This window comes from Homo sapiens, chromosome 6, assembly GCF_000001405.40.
Source record: "Homo sapiens chromosome 6, GRCh38.p14 Primary Assembly".
Taxonomy (NCBI): domain Eukaryota; kingdom Metazoa; phylum Chordata; class Mammalia; order Primates; family Hominidae; genus Homo; species Homo sapiens.
The window spans coordinates 137,690,902-137,714,474 of NC_000006.12; the positions used below are offsets into that span (position 1 = coordinate 137,690,902).

Consider the following 23,573-nt stretch of genomic DNA (forward strand, 5'->3'; position numbering starts at 1 on the left):
AACTTTTCCGCACAAGGTCATCAAGGGTGTGGTTACTTTTATGTGTCAACTTGACTGGGGATGCCCAGATAGCTAGTAAAACATTATTTTGGGGTGTGTCTGTGAGGGTGTTTTCAGAAGAGATCAGCATTTTAATCAGTAGACTAAATAAAGAAGATCCATCCTCACCAGTGTAGGCATTCATTATCCAATCCATTAGGAGCCCAAGTAAAACAAAAAAAGTGGAGGAAGGGAGAATATGTTCTCTGTTTCCCCTGAGCCATCATCTTCTCCTGCTCTTGGACATTGAAGCTGCTGGTTCTCAGGCCTTCAGACTTGAACTAAATAATACCACTGGCTTTCCTGATTCTCTAGTTTGCAGACAGCAGATTGTGGGACTTCTCAGCTTCCTTAATGTTGTGATCCAATTCTCATAATAAATCCTATTGGTTCTGTTTCTCTACAGAACCCTAAGTCCCTCAATCGATTCCCAGGCTTGAGCCAGTTTAAAGATCCAGAATGCTTGAGTGAAGGCGAGGTAGGGTCCCCTCAAGGAAGAACCCCAGTACACTACCAAAAATGTATAGTATTAATCATCCTCCCAGTCTTCCCCAAAGAGACCTATGGTTTTTTGTTGTTGTTGGTTTTTGTTTTGTTTTTGTTTTTTGAGATGGAGTCTCACTCTGTCGCCAGGCTGGAGTGCAGTGGTGTGATCTCGGCTCATGGCAACCTCTGCCTCCTGAGTTCAAGCTATTCTCCCGCCTCAGCCTCCCAAGTAGCTGGGACTACAGGTGTGTGCCACCACACCTAGCTAATTTTTGTATTTTTAGTAGAGATGAGGAAGACCTATGGATTTTTACCAGTATAAATGTGCACCAGAGAAAGGAAAATAATCAGACATTTTAGGGACTACAGAACACTGGGAGCAAGGTCCTGCCATCATCCACAGATAACTACTCTCCTTTTAAGAGACAGCTTTTGGCCTGCTCCTGGGCCTTGTGCAAATGGAATGCAGAACTACAGCCTCTCTCTATGGTATCCCTAAAAGACAGTGGTGAAGGGAAATCCTCCCAGTGGGCAGAACTTCAGGCAGTACACCTGGTTGTGACTTTGCAGGAGAAGAAGAAATGGCCATATGTGAGATTACATACTAATTCATGGGCCGTAACAGATGGTTTGGTTGGAGGATCAGGGACTTAGAAGAAACATGATTGGAAAATTGGTGACAAATGAAATTTGGAGATGTATATACATAGATTACTTTGAATGTGCAAAAAATATAAAAATATTTGTGTCCCATACAAATGCTCACCAAAGGGTGACCTCAGCTGGGGAGGATTTTAATAATTACATAGCTAGGATGACTGTTCTGTGGATATCAGTCAGCCCTATTGCCAGCCACCTCATGCTTGCCCAATGGGCGCATGAATAAAGTGGCCCCGGTGGCAGGGATGGAGATTATGCATGGGTTCAGCAACATCAGCTTCCACTCACCAAGGCAAACCAGGCTACGGCCACTGCTGAGAGCCCAATATACCAGCAACAGAGATTGACACTGATCCCCTGCTATGGCACCATTCCCTGGGGAGATCAGCCAGCTACCTGGTTGCAGGTTGACTAGATTGGACAGCTCCTATCGTGGAAGGGACAATGTTTTGACCTTACTTATTCTGGATATGAATTTGCCTTCCTTACATGCAATGCTTCTGCCAAAACTACCATTCATGGACTCACAGAATGCTTTATCCTCTGTCATAGTATTCCACACAGCATTGCTTCTCACCAATAACTCACTTCACAGCTAAAGAAGTGCAGCAATGGGCCCATGCTCATGGAATTCACTAATCCTACCATATCCTTCATCATCCTGAACAGCAGCCTCGACAGGAAGATAAAATGACTTTTTAAATTCTCAGTTACAGCACCAGCTAGGTGGCAATACCTTGCAGGCTGGGGCACAGTTCTCTAGAAGGCTGTATATGCTCTAAATCAGCATCCAATATATGGTACTGTTTCTTCCATAGCCAGGATTCACAGGTCCAGGATTAAAGGGGTGGAAATGGGAGTGGCACTACTTACCATTACCCCCAGTGACACACTAGTAAAATTTGTGCTTCCTGTTCCCATGACTTCATGCTCTGCTGGCCAAGAGGTCTTAGTTCCAGTGGGAGGAATATTACCACCAGTAGACATAACAATGACTCTATTGAACTGGAAGTTAAGACTGCCACTAGGCCACTTTGGGCTCCTTATGCCTGGGTCAACAGGCCAAGGAGGGAGTTATAGTGTTGGCTGCATGGCTGATCTGACTACTAAGGGGAAATTGGACTACTGCTCAACAATGGAGGTAAGAAATAGTATGTTCGAAATACAAGAGATCCCTTAGAGTGTCTCTTAGTATTACCATGTCCTGTGATTAAAGTCAATGGAAAACTACAGCAACTTAATCCAGGCAGAACTACTATTAGCTCAGATGCTTAAGGTATAAAGGTTTGGGTCACTCTGCCAGGTAAAAAACCATAACCAGTTGAGGTGCTTGCTGAAGGCAAAGGGCATACAGAATAGGTAGTAGAAGAAAGTAGTTATCAATACCACCTACAATTGTGTGACCAGTTATAGAAACAAGAACAGTAATTTTTATGAGTTTTTATCCTTATATTGTTATAAATGCTTTGTGTGTCTATGAACATACACTTAGGAAATATCTAAGTTTTCTTTTCTCTCTTACTTCCTTATGATGTAACATAAAGTGTATTGACTTTATACCAGGATTTAAGTATTATTAATATTAAATCAGTATTTAAGTTATAGAAAATCAGGAGAGTAAACTTTACTCAAGAGCTTTGCCTCTTCTTTTAGGGAAGGGATTTTTGGTTGTATACAGCATAGTTGTATCATGTTAGGTGGAATTATGACTCTGCTGTCTTTATTTATAGATTAAGTATGATGTAAAAAGATGTGTGTGGGTGCCAGATTAGCAAGGGGTGGACTTGTGATGGTGAATTTTTCAATTTGACTTGGCTAAGGGATGCTCAGATAGCTGGTAAAACATTTCTTCTGAATTTGTCTGGAGGGTGTTTTCAGATAAGATTAGTGCTTTAAATAGTAAACTGCATGACGAATATCTGCCCTCACCAATGTTGGCAGGCAACAGCCAATCTATTGAGGGCCTGAATAGAACAGAGGAAGAGAGAATCCATTCTTTCTGTATGAGCTGGGACATCCATCCTTTCCTGCCATTAGACATTGGAGTTTCTGATTCTCCAACATTGGGACTTGAACTGAATTATAGCACTGGCTTTCCTGGTTCTTCAGCTTACAGACAGCGGTTCTTGGTAACATCTTGTTCTCCATAATCACATGAGCTAATTCCCATAATTAATCTCCTGTTACATACATATATATCTTATTGGTTCTCTTTTTTTTTTAGATACCTGCTTAATACAAAGGGTTAGTGATTACATTGGGCTTTGAAATTCAATAGGCTGGATTTGAACTCTTGCTGGCTCCATCACTCACTAGCTGATTCCCATAGTTTTTTCAGCTATAAAATGGGGCTAATAATTGGCTGGTTGTGAGGATTAAATGAGCTAACACAAGGAGAGCCTTTGGAGTAGGCCTGGCACATTTAACTGCTCAATACATCTTAGTTTCAAACTACACAACAATCATCATGTCAATGAATCCAATGAACCCCTTGAGTTGCCCATGAGGCAACATCTAGGTCATTTTCTCACAGTTTGTTTTGTAGGAAAGGTCGTGACCTGTAAAATCTTTTGTAGCAAGGTTCTGCTTAGTCAGAACCTTCCTTAAGCATTGAATGGGCATTTATCCTCTGTTAAAATAAACATGCTATGAACCTAAAACTGCTATAGAAAATAAAATTTATTTAAAAAAGAAAAATAACACTGATGAATGATGAAAGCAGAAATATCCTTTCTTTTTCCTAAATTGCTCAGATAATTCTCTCAATCTTTGTATCGCATCAATGATTGGGTCCTGGCTAATCAATATATCAAGTTTAAAATAAGAAAGTAATAAGATGGAATGAAAAATAATTAATCTGGAAGTGAGCCTGGCCTCCTCCCTTTCTCCTGACTCCAAGGCAAAGCACTGATTGCTAGAACCACTTTCCCTCCTGGAGAAGACGGGGTGTCTCTGCCTGGGAGAGTGGGTGGATGGAGATGCATGGGAGAGTGTGGAATAGGCAGGTTGGGGGGCTGGGAGAGAAGAGCCACCTGAGGGTGGAAAGATTTGGTGCACTGAGAAGAGAGGCACGCAGAGCATGTGAGAGGGGCATTTCAAAGGAAAGGGAATTGCTGTAAGAGTAGCTGTGGGTATGTATTTTGATCCCTTTCACAGTTTTATTGTTTTGTTTTTTAAAAAACCCCACTGAAATAAAGGATTAATGTAACTTTCAAAAATTTATTTTGGTCATTGGTCTGTGATTCTGCAACTCTGTCAGCATCTCAGAAAAGTATAAGGCCAACTCAATTTGGCAAAGGATTCAGAAATATCCTTTTGAACTTGAAAATCCAAATGTGATAGTCTACAGATTCCCCAGTCCCAAAATATCAGAGTCTATTGTGTTTTAAAATGTGCATTCCATTCCTTTTGGAATGCCTCACTCACAGGCCAGAGCGCCTGCCCCATTTCCAGTCCCTTTCCAGCATCTCCCCAAAGTTCAGCTTCTGCCCTAGCATGAGCTCCTTTACTAAGACACAAATCTGATTGCATTATTCACCTGCCTTTGTTCACCACTGGCTTCCTCTCTCTAGCAGCATCCAGTTCATGCTTCTTAAATGATCCTGGCCCTCTACAGCCCCTCCTCCTAAATAAAACTCTCTACCCCACGGGAGCCCAGAACACTACAGCAGACCCCCAAACAAGCTCGCTGCTGTGCACACCCAAGCCTTCACAAAGGCTGCTGCTTTGAAACGTGCCGCCCACCCTTCCTGCCTACAGAATTTCTACGAGGACTCCCTTGAAAACCTCCTGGCTGCCTACCTGGCTGTCCCACCTCTGTCCAAAGAGAGGAAAGCTTTTCCTTTATGGCTTTCTCTGCCATGTGTAAATCCTGAATTTTGCTGTCAGCATTAATGTTTCTCCAGCAGGTCTGCAGTTCAAAGGACGTGAACTTGTCCTTTGTTCATGCTAGACACTCAGTGGTGGAGGGTAGATTAAATGAATGAATGTGCTCATCATCTCTGGGTTGTTTCATTGTGTTTGTTTGCTTGCTTTTTAAGGACACCTGGAGCATCTAATGACCATATTCCCATTGGTTTTAACCCAAAGAAGTTCAAAAGTAGCCCACAGGAACTTATTTTATTTTTCCTGTGATTTTTTTTTCCACTTTGAAAATCTATGTCTCTCATTAGCTGTTAAGTCTTTAGAGACATCTGAACACTTTCAATCTCATAATTGAAGACCATTTAATGCTATGAAGCCATATACCCACTGGGAGACCCTCTGGATTCATCTGAGCCATTCTAGAAGCCACAAAAATATTTTTCTATTTTCACGGGAACTTATGGGTGCCTTGTACATGGTAGACATTGACAAATATGGAACTGAACCAACGTCTTGAAGACAATATAATGTGGCAGAGAAAGGAAAGCACCTGCCCAGGAAGAAACCTCAAACCTTGCGGAATGTAATGATCTACCCTCTCCGCTGATGTTCTTGGGCTACTGAGCACAGCTGGAGGAAAGCCTCCTAGTGAATTGGTTGTTCCTCCTATGATCTCTTGGGCTTGGGCATCATCAGGCCCTCCCCACTCCTGAATTTCTCTAAGGAGCTGTTTTTCGATTTTCCACTTTCTTCAAACCATCCATCCTCTACTTTCCTAAGAGAAAACAGAAGCCATTTGATGAAAATTCTAGTAAATCCGCCACTAAAACTTTGAATATTTTTAAAGAATGCTTTCTATTACATACATTAGAAAACCTAACTCAGCTGACTGAATTAGTAAGCTAATTTTATCAGCTCACATCTCAACAAGTGTTGTAGCAGGGCCTGTGAGTTTGGTTTTTCAGCAGCTCAGTGATGTTGTCAAGGGCCCAGGGTTTTTTTCCATCTCTCTTCTGTACTATGTCAGCTTGTCGACAGGCACTACATCCCCATGCAGCAACCTTTAGTGGAAGAAAAATTGTTCCCAGAAACATTACCAAGCCCCATAGCAAATTTCCCTTCATACCTACTTGACCAGAACTAGATCGTACGCCCACCCCTAAATCAACCCCTGGCAAGAGGAATATTTCCATGTTTAGCTTCTTCTAGATTAAACCAAGCATCAAGTTCTCTTTCTTAAGAGGCTGAAAACTGAAAATTGGAGGATGGACTTACCCCCAAATCCATCCCTCCTTTCCTAACAGTTTCACTCACTGCTCTTTCCCTGCACATGGTGCAGAGCATGATTAATATGTGTTGAGTTGATAAGTGAAGCTTGGCTCCTTGTCTTGGCCCTGCCACTAACCAGCCATGTTAAAATACTGAATGAACTTCTTGGACCTCTGTTTCCTGTTCTGCAAAAGGAGGGATTTAGTATAGCTTAAGGCCAACTATCACTGGCTCCATCTCCACGACTTCCTAGTGAAGTGAACAAAAGGTTCCCATACCTTAGGAGTGCCCAGCCTGCCCAGAGAGTGGCTGTGACTCCTTGTGGAAATTGTCAGCAATGACAGCTGTTGATGACAAGAGGTGTAGTAGTCACCTTTGTCAAAGCCCAGTCATGGTTCAGCAGGCAGAAGTCTGCATGCCTTCAAACCAGCTTTAGTTTCAGCTCAAGGCAGCAAACAAGGCAATTTCTTCCTAGGAATGCTGCCTGGCCCTGTCCATCCTGCCCAGGGAAACTTTGCAGGCCTTGCCACTTCTCAGGGTGAGGCAGTTGAGAGTTTATCACCATAAGCCATTGTTTTCACAGCAGTGAGAGCTCTGGACTTTCCCAGGAATTCCACTGGAATGTAAACAGTCTTCAGATCCCAGGCAGAAACCAGCGGATATCCTGAGCTGTCCAAAGTCCCATGTTGGATCCCAAAGATTTGATTTCTTTTTTTTTTTAAATCTTAAAATGTATTTTTGCTCATTAGATACATTTCTTTTTCTATCTCTAAATATTTAACACCCCTGATATCAGTTAATATTAATGATCTGGAATGAAAGAATAAATCAACTGAATAATAATTCTGTAATGAAAGTGTCATGCAAACAAATCTCCATGTTTCTGAACTCTATAAACTGTTAGAAACACAAGCTCATCAAATGTCCACCTTTTCATTGTCTCAGCCTGGCATGGTGGCTCACGCCTGCAATCCCAGCACTTTGGGAGGCTGAGGCGGTGGATCACCTGAGATCGGGAGTTTGAGAGCAGCCTGACCAACATGGAGAAACCCGGTCTCTACTAAAAATACAAAATTAGCTGGACGTGGTGGCACATGCCTGTAATCTCAGCTACTCGGGAGGCTGAGGCAGGAGAATCACTTGAACCTGGGAGGCGGAGGTTGCAGTGAGCTGAGATCGCGCCATTGCACTCCAGCCTGGGCAACAAGAGCAAAACTGTCACAAAAAAAAAAAAAAAAAGAGAATTACAATTCTGAATTGTTGTTGTTGTTGTTGTTTAATGAAATACAAATTCCTCTCCTTCCTATGCCAAAGTGCTCGGCCATCCAGCACGGCCTTCAAGCAGGGGACTTCAGAAAGATAGTCCACAGGAAGCCTGGGACTAAAAACTTGATGTTATTCAACTTGTGTGTTGATGATGACTGTAGGGCTAATGTTTTTCTGATTCTGTCTCTTAGATTCTCTCTGGACTATTTCATGGCTCAGGAACCACATCCTCCTTCCCCACTTCCTGAGTGTATGGGATGGCCACATATACTGAAGCTCAATCTTATGAAAAGAGCATTTCAGAGGCAGGAGGATCTGGATTTGAATTCCGGCTTGATCCTGGGCTGAACAGGACCAGTTCTGCTTTCTGCCCTGGGGCAAGTTACCCAACATCGCTGAGCATCTGTTTCCTTCACTATAAAATGAGGATGATGATACCACGTGGGATTGTTGAGAAGATAAAAAGAGAAAGCACTTGAAAAGCTTCTAAACATGACCTCTCACAAAGCTGTTCAATAACTGTTAGCTCCCTTTTCTCCTCCTTGCAGCTGCTGTTTCCTGGAGTTGCAAACGTTTCTAGGTGAGCTCATGTGAGACCATCTGAAACATTCCAAGAAGTAGTCCAGATGTAAAGACAGCTTTATCTTTGGCCAGGTGCAGTCTTACTAGAATGGCCCATCCTGGTAGAGAATCATGTGGCCCCTTAGACAACTATGACACCAGGAATTGGATGAAACAAAGTTTCAGCTACAGGATGAGGATATATAGATAAATGTTGATGACATATTTCTTTCCTTTTTTGGTTTCCTTTTCCCTTGAAAATGCTTTCAGATCTCTGAGACATCCCGTTGTCATCTTCCTCTTTTAAAACCCTTCGTGTGCTCTTTTCTATGAAGGGCTGGTTGGCAGCTGATGAGGCCCCAGGCTGGAAGGAACTCACCGGCTCATGGCTCACCAACCCCTAACTACAGCTGGGCAGGCAAGGAGGGAGGCTGCAATTTCATTCACTTCTTTAGATTGATGTTTTGACATCTTTAGAAGCCTCTGTTAAAATGGAAATGTGGAATCTGAGTAGTGTGGTCAAACTGGTATACGAGGACATTTTGGTGGTGACTCAAGTCTGATGAAGCTTTTCTAGTAATTTGTGCCTTCCATTTCCTAGGAACAAGAGTGAGTGAGGACTAAGGACACAAAACAGCAGCAGTTTCAGCCCCACTCCTATAATATTCTAAAAGCTTGTCCTTAGATCTTGATATTCTTCTCTCAGGCAGAGAGCTTAAGAATATTAGAGAAATATCCTGATACTTTTGCATTTTAAGGTAAGCCACAGCCAGAAAGAACAATGGGAGGCCCAGAAGCCCACCTCCAACCACTCCAACCAGATACACCAAGGACTCTGGCTCAGACCAGATACAGCCACCTTGGTGATCCAGAGAGGCCTCCTGCTGGGTGCAGTGGCTCAAGCCTGTAATCCCACCACTTTGAGAAGCTGAGGTGGGAGGATTGCTTGAAGCCAGGAGTTCAAGACCAGCCTGGGCAACATAGCAAGACCCCATCTCTACAAAAGAAAAAAAGAGAGAGAGAGTGAGAGAGGCCTCCTATCAGGAATCATGCTCAAGTTCCAATTCAATTTCAATGAGAGATAAGGGAGTAAACAGCAGGAAGGAGGGAGATTCCAGAAGACCCCAAGACTGCATTGTTGGGCTGTCATTGTTCATGGGAATTACTCACCCATGGGTCTCCATCGGGTTTCACCCACAGGTCTGTGCACCATGTCTTGCTCTCTAGGAACCAGAACATCTCTATGGTTCTTTGGATAGAAGTACTCTATTTCAGTGACTCTTAGATTTTTGTTTATTTTTAAAAAGGGATAGTTGTGGTGAATTGCATTAGGATTACTAAAATAAAAGCATTAAGAAACTCCCCAAAACTCCAAATACATCTGGAGTCATTCTTTCCTAATAGGGACAATATTTTATTACCAAAAATGGTAGAAGGGTTAGAAGGGCCTAAGTCTCAGGATAAAGGATAGTTCATTGCATTTAACTAATTCACATTCAGAAAAATGTTTTTCAAATTGATCTTATTTTTCTTATTTTGCCATGGATTGATAAAACTTTATCACAAATTAGAACAGAGAATTAGGAGGTCTATGTTTAAATCCAGACCCTGATGCTATTTACATCCCCTAGGCAAAGGAATTATTCTCTCTGACTTTTATTTTGTTATTTCCTAAAGGAAAGAATTGTATTAGTTGATTTCTTAAGCAGCTCTCACTTTCTTTGAGCTCCTATTTCTCTGATTGTAATGTGGAAAACTGAGCTCTATTTCATACATAACCACACCCTTCATCTAACATTTTATAACAAATATTGTTTCCCTGATTTCTCCATTTGCAGCCCAGATAACAACTCTCTTCCTAGGATTAGTGAAAGCTTGTAGTATCATACAAAACCCAGTAATTTTCCCACTAATCGGGGAGTTTCCCAGAATTATCTGCCAAAGGTTATTTTGGCACCTAACAACGTTTTTTACTTTTCCGTCATCAGTATTATCATCAACAAAAAATATTTCTTAAGTTAACAAGGAAAATACTGAATACAGAGAATAAAGACATAATCATAGAATGGGTAAAAGTTCAGGCAGTCTGTTAGAGAGCAGTACTTTTCTCATATCTTAACCACATCAAGGACCTGGGACAGGGATGATGGTGATTGGAGCGGCAGCTTTGAGGGTCACATACTGATGTCGTCAGTGGAAAGAGAAGCCAGCACCCCCCTTCTCATCAGTCCAAAACCATCATAGAAAAAAAAAAACAGGATTACGTAAGAAGTTGGACTATGGGGAGGGCAGGAGAAGTGAGACTTTATGGGGCCAGATGTCAAGGACATTTCACAAAAGAGAGCCATACCTTAGATCAATGCTGCGACTGGCTCCCAGAGACATTTAGTCATGTCTGGAAACATCTTTGATTATCACATCTGTGAAGGAGTGCTATTGACATCTAGAGAGTAGAAGCCAGAGGTGCTGCTAAACATCCCAGAGAACACAGTCACCCTATAAACACAGGGCAGCCCCCACAATGAAGAATTATCCAGCCCAAAATGTCAATGGTGTTGAAGTTGAAAAATCCTGCATTGGAGTAAACTTGAGAGTGATCATGAGACTAAGAGCAAGAGAACATTTGACGTCGGTGTGATAAACAAGGAAAGGGATATCTTTGAGGCAGAGAAGAGGAAAGTGAGGAGGTACATTCCTTACCAAAATCTGGACACCTCCCATCCTTTACTGAGGTTCTAGAATCAGTCCTAAGAAGTACAGAAGATCTAGCATCCAGGCCGGGCCTGTTGTCCTGAGAGCAGAAGCAGGGAGTTGGGATGAAAAGCAGAGGGACTACTGCTCTCCCTCATCAGTGCATTTACCATGGAAAACTGCTGGTGTGAAGATGGCTAAGACCACACTGAATGAGAAGGAATGAGAGCAAGTGACGTGAGGGCCAAGTCGTCAGACCCAGAGCAAAGCATGGTGAGCAAAGTGGATCTGCTCCCTCAAGAGGTGCAAACCTAACTCCTGGACTTTCCCCAGCTCAGAGCAGCTGCCCTGTTAGAACAGGGCCACACCATTGCTGGGGTTTGGCACACAAAAATCCCTGACCTTAAGTGCTCTGAGTTACTAAATAATCCCAGGGTAATTAGGTAGTCCCAAGGGAATCCCATAGTTTAAAATTATGGGCTCCTGAAGGTCCTGTTTGGTCCCTAAAGTCTTACTAAGATTCATTATTTCCTTAATCAATAGTTATTGAATACCTATTACTTGCCAGGTCTGTCCAGCAGGTGAGAAAACAATTGGAAGCAGAAACAGACATAGTCCTCTCATGCCTAGCACTTAGAGTCTTTCAGGAGAAATAGTAAGTAAGCAAATCATCACGCAAGTATCATAGCTGAAATGCATGCTCTGAAGGCATGAGGGAGTATCATGGGGCGTCTGTTAGTCATGGGGGAACGGGGCAGCCTTTCCGTGAAAATGGGGCCAGGAAGGCCTTTTAACTAAGGGGGATTTACTGGCAAAAAGACTGTGAATTTACATTCTTGATAGTGTGTCCAAGTGAGGTTGTAGGTTCAGGTGCATTGACCCTCTGACAGGACTGAGAGAAGTTGCTAAGTCCCCCCGAAACAACCTCATATTCTGTCTTTTCAATCTCAGTGGAGGCCAACTAAATTTTCCAGTACTCAGGCCAAAAGTCTTGGGTCACCCTTTACTCTGCTCTTTCTCACGTCTCACAATGAATGAATCTCTACTTAAATTTTGCTAGTTCTATGTTAAGATTGTATGCAGAATCTGGCCATTTCTCATCAACTCCACTATACCCTCAGTGCAAGCCACCAGCACCCCTCCTCTGGCTGCCTTCAGCAGCCTCCTAACTGATCTCCTGACTCCTGTCCTTGCTCCCTAGTCTATTCTGAAAATAGCAGCTAGCATAATTCTTGCTCCCTACAGTCTATTCTTGCTCCCTACAGTCTATTCTGAAAATAGCAGCTAGCATAATTCTTTTAAAATGAATGTCAGATCACATTGCTTGTTTGTTCAAAACCTTCTAATGATTCCCCATTGCACTCAAGAGTAAAAGCCAAAGTCCTCCCTAAAACCCACAAGGCAATTCACAATCCACCTTCCCTGAATCATGTTCTAGGCCCCACCTACCTCCTTGCCTCCAGCACACTGGACTCCTTTATTATTCCAGACACTCTCCTTCCTCAGGCTCTTTGCATGGGCTGCTTGCTCCCCTCGCCTGGAGTGCTCCTCCTCCCCATGGCCACATGGCTCCCTGCTTCATGAACTACAAGTCTCTGCTCAGATGCCATCTTCTCCATGAAGTGTGCCCTGACTATCCAACTCAAAATTACAACCTACCCCTCTGCACACATTCCCCACTGCCATTCCCTGCAGTCTGTTTTTCCATAGCACTTATTACTATTTCCCATCCTCTCTATATAACAGACTTATTTAGTTTATTCATTGTTTATCTTCCCCCATTAGAATTGTATGCTCTTAGAGGCAGAGATTTTAGTCTGCTTTGTTCACTGATATATTTGAGCATCCAGTAGAGTGCTTGGCATATACATGTACACAGCATAGATAGATAGATAGATAGATAGATAGATAGATAGATAGATGATAGATAGATAATAGGTAGATGATAGATAGATGATAGATAATAGATAGATGATGATAGATGATGATAGATAGATAGATAGACAGATAGATAATAGGTAGATGATAGATAGATGATAGATAATAGATAGATGATGATAGATGATGATAGATAGATAGATAGACAGATAGATAATAGGTAGATGATAGATAGATGATAGATAATAGATAGATGATGATAGATAGATAGATAATAGATAGATATGAAAAAACCATGGCTATTCATTCCATTGCTATGTAGATTTATAAATTAATATTTTAAATAAATCTTACAATTGTACAATAGTGAACACAGTTAGATTGCATTGCAGTTCATAAAAATAATCATTTTTTTCAATATAAGCTTTTTTTTCTTTTTTTTTGAACGAACGTCTTGCTCTACTGCCCAGGCTGGAGTGTAGTGGTGCGATCACAGTTCACTGCAGCCTTGACCTCCTGGGCTATAGCCATCCTCCTGCTTCAATCTCCTGAGTAGCTGGGACTAAAAGTGTGCACCACCACACCCAGCTATGTTTTTGATTTTTTGTAGAGGGGAGGTTTTATCTTGTTGCACATATCTCAAACTCCTGGGCTCAAGCAATTCTCCCACCTTGGCCTCCCAAAGTGTTGGGATTACAGGCTTGAGCCACTTTGCCCAGCCTAGACATTTTAAATATAGAATTTCATTAATTTGATTGAAGTATGTCTTCATTTTTGTTTTTATTTTTATTTTTTCATGTCAAAGATGTCATAGCATTTTATTTCCGTTACAAAAGTCAACCAATGATATTTTCATTGAAATATCTGCACTGAATGATGATTCAACATATGAGGCAAAGAGGGAGGTTTTTGGAAAAGGCATTTAAGGTAGAACATTAGCAAATCTTACCGGTTGGCTAAAACAAAAATGAGCTCGTTCAACCTGGCTGGAGGCCTGTTAGGGCTGTTCCTTCTCACTGTGGCCTGACTAAAAAACCAGTGACATTAAGAAAGCATCACATTTCCCAAGTCTGGGGGTGCCCCAGTGGGGTGGTGCTGCTCTCAAAAGCCCTGTGTTCCTAAAAACATCCATCCTCACAAGATCAGTTTCCCCAAGTGCTGGTTCCAAAAATAAGCTCAGGGCTGGCAGAAATTGTTCAGGAAGCTTCTTGAAGTCCCCTCCTTTATTTCTCAGTCTGACTTTCAGCTTGTCCCAGCTACTGTAAGCAGCTTCGGCTTCCCAAGGTCACTGGCAACTCCTACTTTTGCTAATATCCTTGGTTTTCCATGGCACGGGTTGTGACTGTTTTTTAGACTAGTGGTCCCCCAATTAACTGCACCTCCACTTCATACCCTTTTCTTGAATCTGAGCCGGGCTTGTAACTTGTGTAGTAAGTAGAGGGCATACTCCAGCTCTCTTCTGATTAGAAAAAATCCTCATCGTTATCATAATCAACAGAGGGCAGTAAAAGGGATGCTGCGACAATTCTGGACTTAAGTCTTCAGGAGGCCTGGCCACTTCTGCTTTCAAGCTCTTGGTATGTGAGAGGTCTAGCTACCCTGCCAGCCAGCCACTGAAAGAGACAACACAGTGGTCTTTAAATGGTTTCAAATTTTGCTTATCAAAATGTAGTCAACAAAAATGCAAGCCTTCCAAATCCAAATTCTGTCTTCACATAAACTTTCTTGTGTCTGTTCTTCATCTTTCTAGGGAGAGGGTGAAAGTCCACATCTGTGGACTTTCTGTGCTGAAGTTTTCCAGGTTTTCTCATGTGAAACTTTTCTGTTGTATCAGGTCCACGTTTTCACAGACTCCAGCATTGTCTTCTCTCATTTCTGCACAGGGTGGCGCTGCAGTGCAAGGCGGGAGGGGGCTCTGGGCTCCACTTGTCTGGTCTGCTAGAGAATACTTAATATTTTTATATTCGTGCCCTTTCCTCTTGCTTTTCTGCTCTTCTTCAATCTTGTGCTGTAGTGTTTCAATATAATGCTGGACTGCCATATAGATAAATCGGTACTGTGCTTCTGTCTGGGCCATCCCTGACCTCTGAGACTGCACTGTGTGGATGGTTTTGAGAAGGTCAATGTTGCAGTTAATACCTTTCTCTCTGATGATGTCAATAAGACTATTAATCACAATGAACCTCCCTGTATGGCCAATTCCAGCACTGCAGTGGACCACGACCAGCCCTGCATCCATGATGCTCTCCTGCTTATGGTGCACCTCCTCCAGGAAGTCCAGCATGCCCCCGGGGTCACTGGGCACTCCGTGGTCTGGTCAGGTCCGAAAGTGGTATTGCCAGACCGTTCTCGCCATATTCCCCTGGAGTACAGCTTGTCCAACCTTTGAAAACTTAAGTTCTCTTAGCATATAGTCATGAACAGCACTTCCTTTGATGTTCCTAACACACATGACCCCATATTCTTGTAGAGCATCCTCTTCAGACCAGTATTTGACACATTTACTCTTTCCTCTCTCCATTTCTTTCATTGTCATGACAATCACTTGGGAGTTTTCTTGGAACACCATCCAGCAAAAGTCATTCACCATGTTTTGCAGGCAGCCTTGTGTGGCAATGCAACTCTTTTTGGGTTTTGAATTGTTGCACTTGGTTTCAAATTCAGGCATGATGGTGTTTGCACTGATGTAATCTGAAATAGGCTCATTGGGATCATCATCGTGTAGGACAACCCTGGTATGATCAAAGGGCAGGATGTTTTTATATCTATTTTTGTTTTTGTTTTCTTGCCTTTGACCCTCTTTTCGGCTGTAGAGAAGTTTGCACTCCTGTGGTTGTAGTGTCTCAAATTCTTCCCAAAAGCCTTGTTGGACTTTGTCTGTGGTCTCAGCTAATTTGCTTAGTTCTCAAACTCTGCTTTCTATTTCAGCAGCATTTATACGAGTCATGTTAAGGGGCTGCTTGAGTCGTAGTACTGTACCCAATGTTTCCAGCATAGGATTCTTCTTGTAATGTTCCACGAGATCCGTCAAAGAATCAAACCGTTTTCCTCCACCAACGTCGTATTTCAGTTCCTGACAGCGAATCATGACATGGGTCACTTTACACTTGCTGTCATTGCTCTCTTTTTTGTCATCACTGGTGCGCACAGAGAGAACAAAATCTCCAGGGTGGCTCTGGCTCTCTCGTATAAGAAAGCTACCATGTTTTCCTTTTTCAGTTAATTTCTCTGCTTCTTTCCCAAAGAGGTGTCCGTGAAACCATCTTTCAGAGGCAGGATCCGCACAGTTCAGAGGATATTTAAGCTCAACAACATCTCCATTCTTCTCTTTTAATTGCCTGTGATGTTCCATGTAATACTGGACCAACTCAGCCGAAGTGGCAAACTTTTCCCCCCAAACGGGTCCTAGTAATCACCAGTGTTCTGAATCTTGATGTGGGTGACAGCTCTATTTCTTCTAATGGAACATGTGAAGTCTCCAGGGGTACTTTTACTAGGCCTTGCCAAAAAACTGCCATCAACTCCTCTTGTCGACAATAGGTTTTTCTGCCTCCACACCACTGATATTTGGGTGAAACCATTGTCTCCAAGCCTCAGTTTCCTCCTTTCTTTTCTTTCTATAAGATAAAGATAGTAGGCTGGGTGCAGTGGCTCACGCCTGTAATCCCAACACTTTGGGAGGCTGCGGCAGGAGGATCGCTTGAGTCCAGGAGTTCGAGGCCAGCCTGGGCAAAAAAGCGAGACTTTGTTTCTACAAAAAATACAAAAAACTAACCGGGAGTGGAGGCTGAGGCGGGAGGATCACTTGAACCCAGGAAGTCAAGGCTGCAATGAGTCATGATCACCCCGCTGCACTCCAGGCTACTTTATTTTTATTTTTAATGAACAGGGATCTTTTTAAAATGGAAGTGGTTGGTCCTTGATGTCTGGCTTCCCTTGCTAATAAATAAACCCAGAGAACTATTTGCAATGGTGTAGCATTTAGAATCAACAGGCTTCAAAACAGAGAGGGTCTATTCTGTTTTGTTTTGAAGTCACCCTTTGCAAAAAACATATGGTAATCTCGGGCAGCCCATGAAGCAATCGGCAAGATCTGAAGGATGAGAACAGTGTGTTCTTTGAAATCCCTCTGACAAGCAGACAGTCCCTCCTTCCCTCAAACCATCCTCAAAGGGAAGTGTGTCGGCTTGGGCAGTAATGAGACGGTGTGGGAATTCCCCTGTCCCCTTGGTTCACTTTACAGACAAAGTTCATTAGGGTTAAAGATGGGTCATTCCCATCCACAGATTCCTTCACTTGAAATCAAGACTTCTTGGGAAATATAAATTTGGAGAACAGGTAACAGTGAACTATAGTTCCCCCCAAAACAAATTTTTTAAAAATCAGGTGGTATTAAAAATTGCTGTTTCATGACATTACCAATAGATGGCAGCACGGGATTCATCTTCGCCCATAAGCAGCTTCACCCCTGCTTTTCCTGGCGAATGTTCACTGACAACTCGGCCTCAGGACTTTGACGCTCTTGGTGTCATCAGAGAGCAATTTGAGGTGTGCAATAAAATCTTTGGGTTCCCCGCCCCGCCTTCTGTAGGTGACCTCAAACCACAATCACCAATCGACTGCGGTGCTGTGACCTGGAAAAACAGCAAGGAAACTAAAAACAAAACAAAACAAAACAAAACAAAAACCCATCCTGTGAGCTCTGCAAAGGAGAACAAGATCATGGCACACAGGCAATTAGCAAACTAAATTGAAGATGAGTTCTGTTAGAAGAGTCAAAAAACAAAGAGAACAATTTTTGTGAATTGCGTTTTTAAGATCACTGCATCCAAACACTGGAGCTTCAACATAAAGACTCCTGAGCCATGTATTCTGACTTGACCCCTGCAGTTCCTTCCAGTTCCAAAAATCTCTGATCTGTGAATAGAAAAGTTCCAGCAGATACGTTTCTAAGAGCATGAAATTATTTCTAGATACTAGTCTAGTACCTACATGTATTAAAACACAAAAATAAACAAACAAAAAGACCTTCATGCTAATCAAAATATTTTTTAACAGAAAGGAAACCAAAACCTATTGGACCCAGCCCACAAGAACTGTGTTTTTTCCAATGCACATAGCAATAGAGTCATGTTTTGAAAACCAATTATGTAGGCTATAACACCCATTGTAGAAAGAATAGAATAGAATAGAACAGATCAGAATGCATCACAGTCTGCAGGGTTGTAAAGTAAAATTTCTTGCTTTACATCATGGGCCAAAGAAAACTTGCAAAGCTCTATCATGGAGAACAGCATCTGTCTTCAACCTTTGTATCTTCCACAGCCCAACACCAACAAGCTCCTCACCATCAAAACATCTAAATGGGCAAATAGAACTTTTGGTGGGTTTGAGTGGCACCAAGCATCAAGCTACATTAATACTCTTCTCAATCACTGTCATACAAATATGGAGAATTCGGTTATTTATCATCATTTTCTGCATATCCATACTATTCCAAGACAATCCCAATTTCTGGCTTTTTGTTCTACTCTTCCATAAGCATATTCATAGTGATAATGTTGTATGTCCTGAGTTTCAGTTTGGAAAATATAGTCCCTGGTTAAATCAATGGGCATCGGATAAAAACTTTAATGTCTAAAGGGGCTGGGTAGGTAGAATCAATGAGTGAAGCAAGCCAGGAATAACAAAGGATTAAAATGTGGATTTTACAGGAGATGTATACATTTTTTAAAAGTTAATAATAACATTAAAAAAGGAAAGTGACATTGTGCGGGAAGAAGAAATTAGGTCTTCTATGGACTGAATTTTATCCCTTCAAAATTCATATATTGAAGTCCTAGCTCCCAATGTGACTATATTTGGAGACAGGTCTTTAGGAGGTAGTTAAGGTTAAACGAGGGCATAAGGGTGGGGCCCTAATCCTGTATGACTGGTGGCCTTATGACCTTATTATGGAAGGAAGAGGTCTCTCTCTCTCTCCCTCTCTTTCTCTCTCTCTCTGTGTGAACGTGCACCAAAGAAAGGCATGTGACCATGTTGCAAGACGACAAATGTGTGCAAGCCAGAAAGACAGCCTTCACCAGGGAACCGAATTAGCCAGCACCTTGATTTTTGACTTCCCAGCCTCCAGAACTGTGAGAAATAGATTTCTGTTGTTTAAGCCACCCAGGCTACGATCTTTTGTTACAGCAGCCTGAGCAGACTAACGCGAAGGCTTAGGCCTGGATGTGCTCAGGGCCCTCCAGGGGGCAACTTCAGGTTGAATGAAGCCCTGCAGATTGAAGGAAGCACAAACTCATTGGGGTTAATATCTGATGTCATTTAAGTATCAGTCCTCATCAGGGCTCTGAAGTCCTGGGGCAACCTGTAACAGGATATTCATTCATTAAACAAATGTTTCAGGAGTACAAGATTGAAACTAGTTTGACTGTGAGTCAAGTGGGCCAAAGAACAGCTACTTGGAGAGCATAGAAAGAAAAGTGAGCAATTCCAGAAGAATGGGTGATCTCCAGAATTTCAGAATGAGCATCTAAGCACTCCCACACCCATGGGCCTGGGAAGAGATTGACATCAGCAGGGCAGGGACCATAGCATGGGCTTTCAATTTCACCTTCTCATCCTGCTCCAAGTCATTTTCTCTCCTGTTCTAGTACAATTCAAATATTATTTGATTTAAGCCTCATGGTTTTCAGAATTTCTTTCATTTTTTTCAATAATTATTTTTTAAGTACACATCTAGGTACATTGGTGAAGAAAACAAATGAAAATTCTTGTGTTCATGGCACTTTAGTTAGGTAGATAATAAAGTAAGTAGAAAATGTGAGATGGCAGAAGGCCATAATATGCATTGGTAGTATTGTTTGAGAATATTCAATTCTGCTAAAGAAGAAATCAACTGAAATAAGTGAAACTCATGTTTAAGTATAGGAAGATCAGTTAGCAGCATGAGAGACAGGTTAGAAAGATCAAGTGGGTCATACGTATACACACAGGAAGAGGAAGGAAGGGCAGCGCCAGGATACCTGAGATTCATAACACTGTAATATATGTGAGACACTCGATATTCATGAGTTCTTTATTTGGCTACTCATTTGTGAAATTTATTCTGACCTTGAGTGACCTTTGCCCCCAAAAACCAAATAGAATCTTGCTGCTCAGCAGGTTAATTGGCAAGCACCAGCCACGCCCATGTGCTGGAGCCTCATACCGTTTCCACCTGCTGAGACTCCATGCTGAAAAGTTCAATGCTAGGCCGGGCACCGTGGCTCACGCCTGTAATCCCAGCACTTTGGGAGGCCGAGGTGGGCAGATCACCTGAGGTCAGGAGCTCGAGACCAGCCTGGCCAACATGGTGAAACCCTGTCTCTACTAAAAATACAAAAATAAGCTGGGCATGGTGGTGGGTGCCTGTAATCCCAGCTACTTGGGAGGCTGAGGCAGGAGAATTGCTTGAACCCGGGAGGAAGAATTTGCAGTGAGCTGAGATCGCACCACTGCTCTCTAGCCTGGGGGACAGTGTGAGACTCCGTCTCAAAAAAAAAAAAAAAAGAACTTCAGTGCTGGTCCTAGTGACTGCCAGGAAAGGCTGGTGTGGTAGAGAAAGAAACAGACATCTGAACATTGTCCTGGTTAGGGTTTTTACCCATTTGTGTGCCGTGTGGGGCATGTTAACTCACCCCCACTTCTCCAGCAGGAATTTGAGTCAATTTAATAAACCATGTGATTCCATCACCTTCATTTGATCTGTGATCCCTTCTGGAAGAGTTTGCCTAGTTGTGGACTCAGAGGCTGCCATTGATTGCAATGAAAATAATTTTCCACTTGACAGTGATAAAAAAAAAAAAGTATTACAGCCTCCAAAATAAAGCATGGAAGAGAGATAAGGAGTTTGGGAGATGGGTTTCCATTTTAAATACGATGCTCAGGGAAGGTCTGATTGAGAAGGTTCCATTTGAGCAAACACTTGAAGGAGGTGCGGAAGAAAGATATGTAGCTATCTTGAGGAAGATCATTCCAGACATAGGGAACCACAAATGCAGAGGTTCTCAGCCATGAGTTTGCCTGGCCAGCTCCAGCAACAGGAAGGAGGCCAGTATGACCACGTGGAGTGAGCAGGGTGGCAGGAACTAAAGTTCGAAGTCACACGGGACCTGTCTTTCCAGGCTCTATAGGTCATTGGAATAACTTTGGGCTTTTACTCTAAGATGGTTTTCCACTGGACAGGAAAGTGGTCAAATTTATATTTTTATGTGATCAGTCTGGCTGCTGTATACCAGAAGGGAATAGAGAAAGATTGTGGAGGTCAATTATGAGACTACTGCAATGAGCCAGGCAAAGGTGACCATGACTCAGATCAAAATGGTAGCAGTAAAGGTGGTAAGTAGTGATGAGACTCTGGTTATGTTCTGAAAGTGAAGCCACTGGGATTTGCTATTGGATTGGATGTGGGGGAGAAACAAAGGGAGGAGTCAATGATGCATCCAAGGATTTGGGCTTTAGCAGCTGGAAAGATGGAGATGCCACAAATGCAGGAGGGAGAAATTTGGGAGAAGTTAGTATCATTTTACAGAAGAAGGAACTGAAACTTAAATAACTTATCCAAACTCACATAGGAAATGAGTTATTCAAGTCAAGAATCAAGCCAAGCCAGGCCATTTCCAAGCTCATGCATGTGTTTTCTGTCTCTCAAGTCCGTGAGAAGAGTATCCAGGGAATAATGGGAGCTGAGTAGATGGAGCAGCTAATTCTGTCTGCCATGGGGTTCAAAGGTTTCACAGAAGAAAATGTGCAGCTTGGCCTTGAGGGGTCTGGACCAGGTCTGGGAGAAGGGCAGGTATTCCAGATAGAAAGGAACATGGATAGGACTGAACAATCAATAGTGTAGGGAAAATTCAGAGGTTTGAAATGTCACTTTATAATTCTGTAAAGCTGTCTTATTCATGTGAACATAGGGTCATACTGCAGCAATATTTCAATATGTATTCAGTGAGTAGCTAACTCTATTATTGCTAGATGTGGGAATACAATGTTTTCACTGTGCATTTATTATTATGCATATAAGCATGCGCAAAGATGGGGTCTGCATTGCCCCTCTGTTGAGAAGGAGGCACTGCCAGGTGCTGCGGACATTGCACCAGAGTGATGCAATGAGGCTGGTACAGGGACAGTAGAAAGAAGCTGGAAGATGGAATGGGCAAAGGCTTCTGCCTGGTGAAGAGCCGCTGGCACTGCCACGCACAAGAAGCAAATAGAGAGGATGAAATCCCTTCTCCCTCCTTCTGCCTTCCAGTCTCTCCTCACGGTCCTTTGGGGCAGAACCCAACTGGGAGCTGACATGGAGATAATAGGGATATCAGAGTCCAGCCCAGCATCAGAAAATTGAGTATTAACAGCTTAGTCTGGAGCTGACAGACACTAGGGTATCAACCACTAAAGCAGTAAAATAGGCATAATAATACCTGCCTTAAAGCCAGATTAGATTTTATGTGTAAAAATACAAAGCGCTTTGTATTGAAAACAACATTATTGACAAAGGCTATGGAAGGTTTATTGGGCTGGTTGTAGAGGATCAAACTGATGTATAGGATGTGGACAGTCTGCTTTTTAGCCACTAACTTGTACATACGTAAGCAAATAAGATAAAATTGACTTTAACCTTGAACTTCCATTTTGGAAAAGTGTCAAACTGCTTTGTTATAGATGCTTGTAAACAGGGTGAAAGATGTCCAATGTCCTGATTCTGATGACTATGCTTGTGAGAGCCCCTCCCCCCGACATGTAGGGCAATTTTCTGATTCTGGAAAAATCTCATGTCCTGGCTCTGGGAAAGGAGCTATCTCAGACTTGCTTCTGCTCAACAGGGAGCCTGAAAGAAGCTGGATTATTGGATGAGGTTGCACATGTATTGCTGGAACACGCCTATTGGGAAAAACCACTTTGTGTGGTGTTTGTTGTTTATGGTAGACACTGATATTTATATTTGACTTTTTTTCCGAGTAATTTTGCCACATAGCTTCTCAAACACATTATATTTCCATTTCTATTGGTTCGGGTCACAGAAACAAATCCTGTATTAACATGTAGTTGATCCCCAAAACTTTGCCTCTGAATTATGACATTTATCTTTAAGAATTGTTACTTTTGTTTTCCAAAGGGACCTTCACTTTGTATTTCATGAGATTCCATGTGTTACAGATTATATTGATTTACTAATTCTACAAATAATAATTGAGGGCTTACCATGTGCCTGATCCAACGCTAAGGGATCAACCAGAAAGTGATTGTCCTTGCCTTCATGGAGGTTATAATCTATTGAGAAAGAGATTATATATAAACACAAGAGATAGATATATAAACACACAAACACAAAGGCTCTCTATGAGGAAGGACTCTGTGAACTGGGATGAAGAGCATAGGAACTGAATTTAGCATATAAGTTTAGAGAGATCTCCTAAAAAAAAAATATTGGAATTGCAACCTATAGGACATGTCAAGCCCTTGATGGGTAAGTGGGTGTCTTGGCAGAATTGAAGGTAGAGGAGAAGACTACAAAGTGGTCAGTCAGTATGGCTGAGATGCAGTGAAAGGCCTCGGTGAGGCTAGAGAACAGCCAGACCCTCCCTGCATGCATTTTATTCTAAGGTCAACAGGAAGCCTTGGGGGACTTAAAAAATGGAGGGACATATTCCACTTTGACTTTTGTGTGGAGAATGGATGATGGTGCAGAAGTGGATGGAGGAGTTTAAGAGGATGCTGCAGTGGTCCAAACAGTGTCACCCTGTGTCTGTCTCCAGGGGTGGACATTCACATAGAGAGAGAAATTATCATGGCTTAGACTGGGGGAAGAGTGGTAAAGA

At 42.4% G+C, this 23,573-nt stretch overlaps 1 long non-coding RNA gene and 1 pseudogene across 1 annotated transcript, besides 4 other annotated features; one reads left to right on the top strand and one right to left on the bottom strand.

Annotated features, from left to right (window-relative positions):
* The first annotated feature begins 2,163 nt into the window (after positions 1 to 2,163).
* Positions 2,164 to 9,514, top strand: LOC124901411 (uncharacterized). Its single transcript, XR_007059789.1, has 2 exons — positions 2,164 to 2,326; positions 7,776 to 9,514. It is a non-coding gene; the product is annotated as an uncharacterized LOC124901411 (long non-coding RNA).
* Positions 4,986 to 5,155: an enhancer, noted in NCBI's record as "experimental_90467 CRE fragment used in MPRA reporter constructs". NCBI's record gives its function as "activates a minimal promoter by MPRAs in K562 erythroleukemia cells, with activity observed for both the introgressed and non-introgressed 6:138017109 variant alleles {active_cell/tissue: K562}" and the evidence as "EXISTENCE:reporter gene assay evidence [ECO:0000049][PMID:34662402]".
* Positions 8,333 to 9,532: an enhancer, noted in NCBI's record as "CDK7 strongly-dependent group 2 enhancer chr6:138020371-138021570 (GRCh37/hg19 assembly coordinates)". NCBI's record gives its function as "activates an origin of replication core promoter dependent on BRD2, BRD4, P300/CBP, MED14 and CDK7 cofactors, with strong dependence on CDK7, by STARR-seq in HCT116 cells {active_cell/tissue: HCT116}" and the evidence as "EXISTENCE:reporter gene assay evidence [ECO:0000049][PMID:35650434]".
* Positions 8,343 to 8,472: an enhancer, noted in NCBI's record as "active region_25144". NCBI's record gives its function as "activates an Ori minimal core promoter by ATAC-STARR-seq in GM12878 lymphoblastoid cells {active_cell/tissue: GM12878}" and the evidence as "EXISTENCE:reporter gene assay evidence [ECO:0000049][PMID:35858748]".
* On the bottom strand, positions 14,922 to 16,319 carry PTPN11P3 (PTPN11 pseudogene 3; annotated as a pseudogene).
* Positions 16,842 to 16,891: a silencer, noted in NCBI's record as "silent region_17586". NCBI's record gives its function as "represses an Ori minimal core promoter by ATAC-STARR-seq in GM12878 lymphoblastoid cells {active_cell/tissue: GM12878}" and the evidence as "EXISTENCE:reporter gene assay evidence [ECO:0000049][PMID:35858748]".